The sequence below is a fragment of the Homo sapiens genome, chromosome 16, assembly GCF_000001405.40.
Source record: "Homo sapiens chromosome 16, GRCh38.p14 Primary Assembly".
NCBI classification, from domain to species: Eukaryota; Metazoa; Chordata; class Mammalia; order Primates; family Hominidae; genus Homo; species Homo sapiens.
Window position 1 is genome coordinate 48,907,898 of NC_000016.10, and position 1,652 is coordinate 48,909,549.

Below are 1,652 nucleotides of genomic sequence, written 5' to 3' on the forward strand. Positions count from 1 at the left end.
AGGGACTAAGCAGGCATATTAGCATAAATAATAAGAAATTTCAATTTAGTTATTTTTGCAACAAATATTTACCAATCTTTATTCCAGGCACTTACTAGACACTGTGGATTCAGAATGGGATGCGCTCGGTGCTGTTGCCCTTGCGGAGCTCATGGCCCAGTAGGGGAGATGGACCTGTGCTTGGACAGTTCAAGTCGAGTGTGATGAGCGCTGTGGTAGGGATGTGCTGGGGTTTGAGAGAACACTGAAAGACAGTGCAGAGTTAGGAAGTCAGGGAGGCTTCTCAGAGGTGACAGCATCCAGCTGAGATCTGACAGGAGAGGAGCTGGCCAGACAAGCTCCTCTTGGTAGGTAGATAAGAGAACACTTCCAAAGGGAGCAGAGATATGCAGAGGCACATGTGAGCAAAAAGAAGACAATTTGGTATTGCTAGAGCGCAGAGTAGGATGGGTGGTGGGGATGGAAAGTGTGGTGAGTCATCTAATGAAACCTTGGAATTACCCTGTAATACCCGGGGAATTACCCGGTAAACTTACAAGACTGTCGTTATCATGTTCGCATTACAGATGAAGAAATGAGGTTCAGAGAGGTTGGGTAGCTTGTCCAAATCACAGAGCTAGCAAGGGCTAGTGCTGAAATTTTGAGCTTGACTGGTCCAGTTCCAAATACCTTGCCCTTGGAGGGGTGTGATAGCCTGGCCTGGGCTGTCTGCTTCTACTGCCAACAAGCTATGTGACATTGAGCAAGTTAATTAACTGCTCTGTGCTTCAGATTCCTCAGCCACAAAAATGGGAATGGAAGTTAATATCTACCCCACAGGGCTGGGTTTTCCGAGGATTAAAAATTTAATACATGTGAAGAATTTTATAGACAGTCTAACATGTAGTAAGGGCCCAATCAATATTAGCTCCTATTATTAGGGTGGATTAAAAAAGAGAGGAACTGAAAAATCACATCTCAATTTGGAGTCCTTTGCAATTGTGGGGATGAGAGGTATTGGCATGGAGGGTGAAGGAAAGGGCAAGTGTGTACGTAAAATGCCATATTCCCTTCTAAAGCTGTTAGTCTAGAGACAGCCTCAGCCACCTTCTGGCCTTGGTTTCTTTGTCCCTTTCTGCTGCCCGCAGATAGGAGGGGACGAACGTGTGCTGCCTTGAGGAGGGTTGGTGCTCCTGAGAAAAATATAGATTTCTTTTGCGAGCTTCAGGAAACCGCATCCCAGTGGGCACTGCAGTATTGACTGACCTGCTGGGACGTGTGGTTGCCAGGAGCAATGCAATCAGCTTCTTGGCCCAGTCCTTCTCCCCGTTGCTCCCAATGACTCTATTTCCATCCAAGTGGTTTAGGGCCCTGTCACTTCCCAGTACTTTCTGTTTTCCTTCCCTGGAGGTGGGGAGCCAGATGCTATGACCTGGTCAGAGGCAGGGTGGATGGAGGGGTCAGCCAGGGACTCCCGAGCTTGGTGAGAAGGAGACAGCTGGTGGAGTGCCATGCACCGTCTGTGAGGCAAGCAGCTCCAGCTTCAGTGGGATCTGTGGGCACCGAGAAGAGGCGCCACCCCATAGCATCCTCTGGTCCCTCCTCTTTCAGGCCTTGGTACTCTCAGCCCTGGCTGGTCATGTCTTTGGGCGACTTGCCTGACCTGTGTCTGT

General features: G+C 49.0%; 1 annotated feature.

Moving 5' to 3' along the window:
* Window positions 397-636: an enhancer, noted in NCBI's record as "active region_10802". NCBI's record gives its function as "activates an Ori minimal core promoter by ATAC-STARR-seq in GM12878 lymphoblastoid cells {active_cell/tissue: GM12878}" and the evidence as "EXISTENCE:reporter gene assay evidence [ECO:0000049][PMID:35858748]".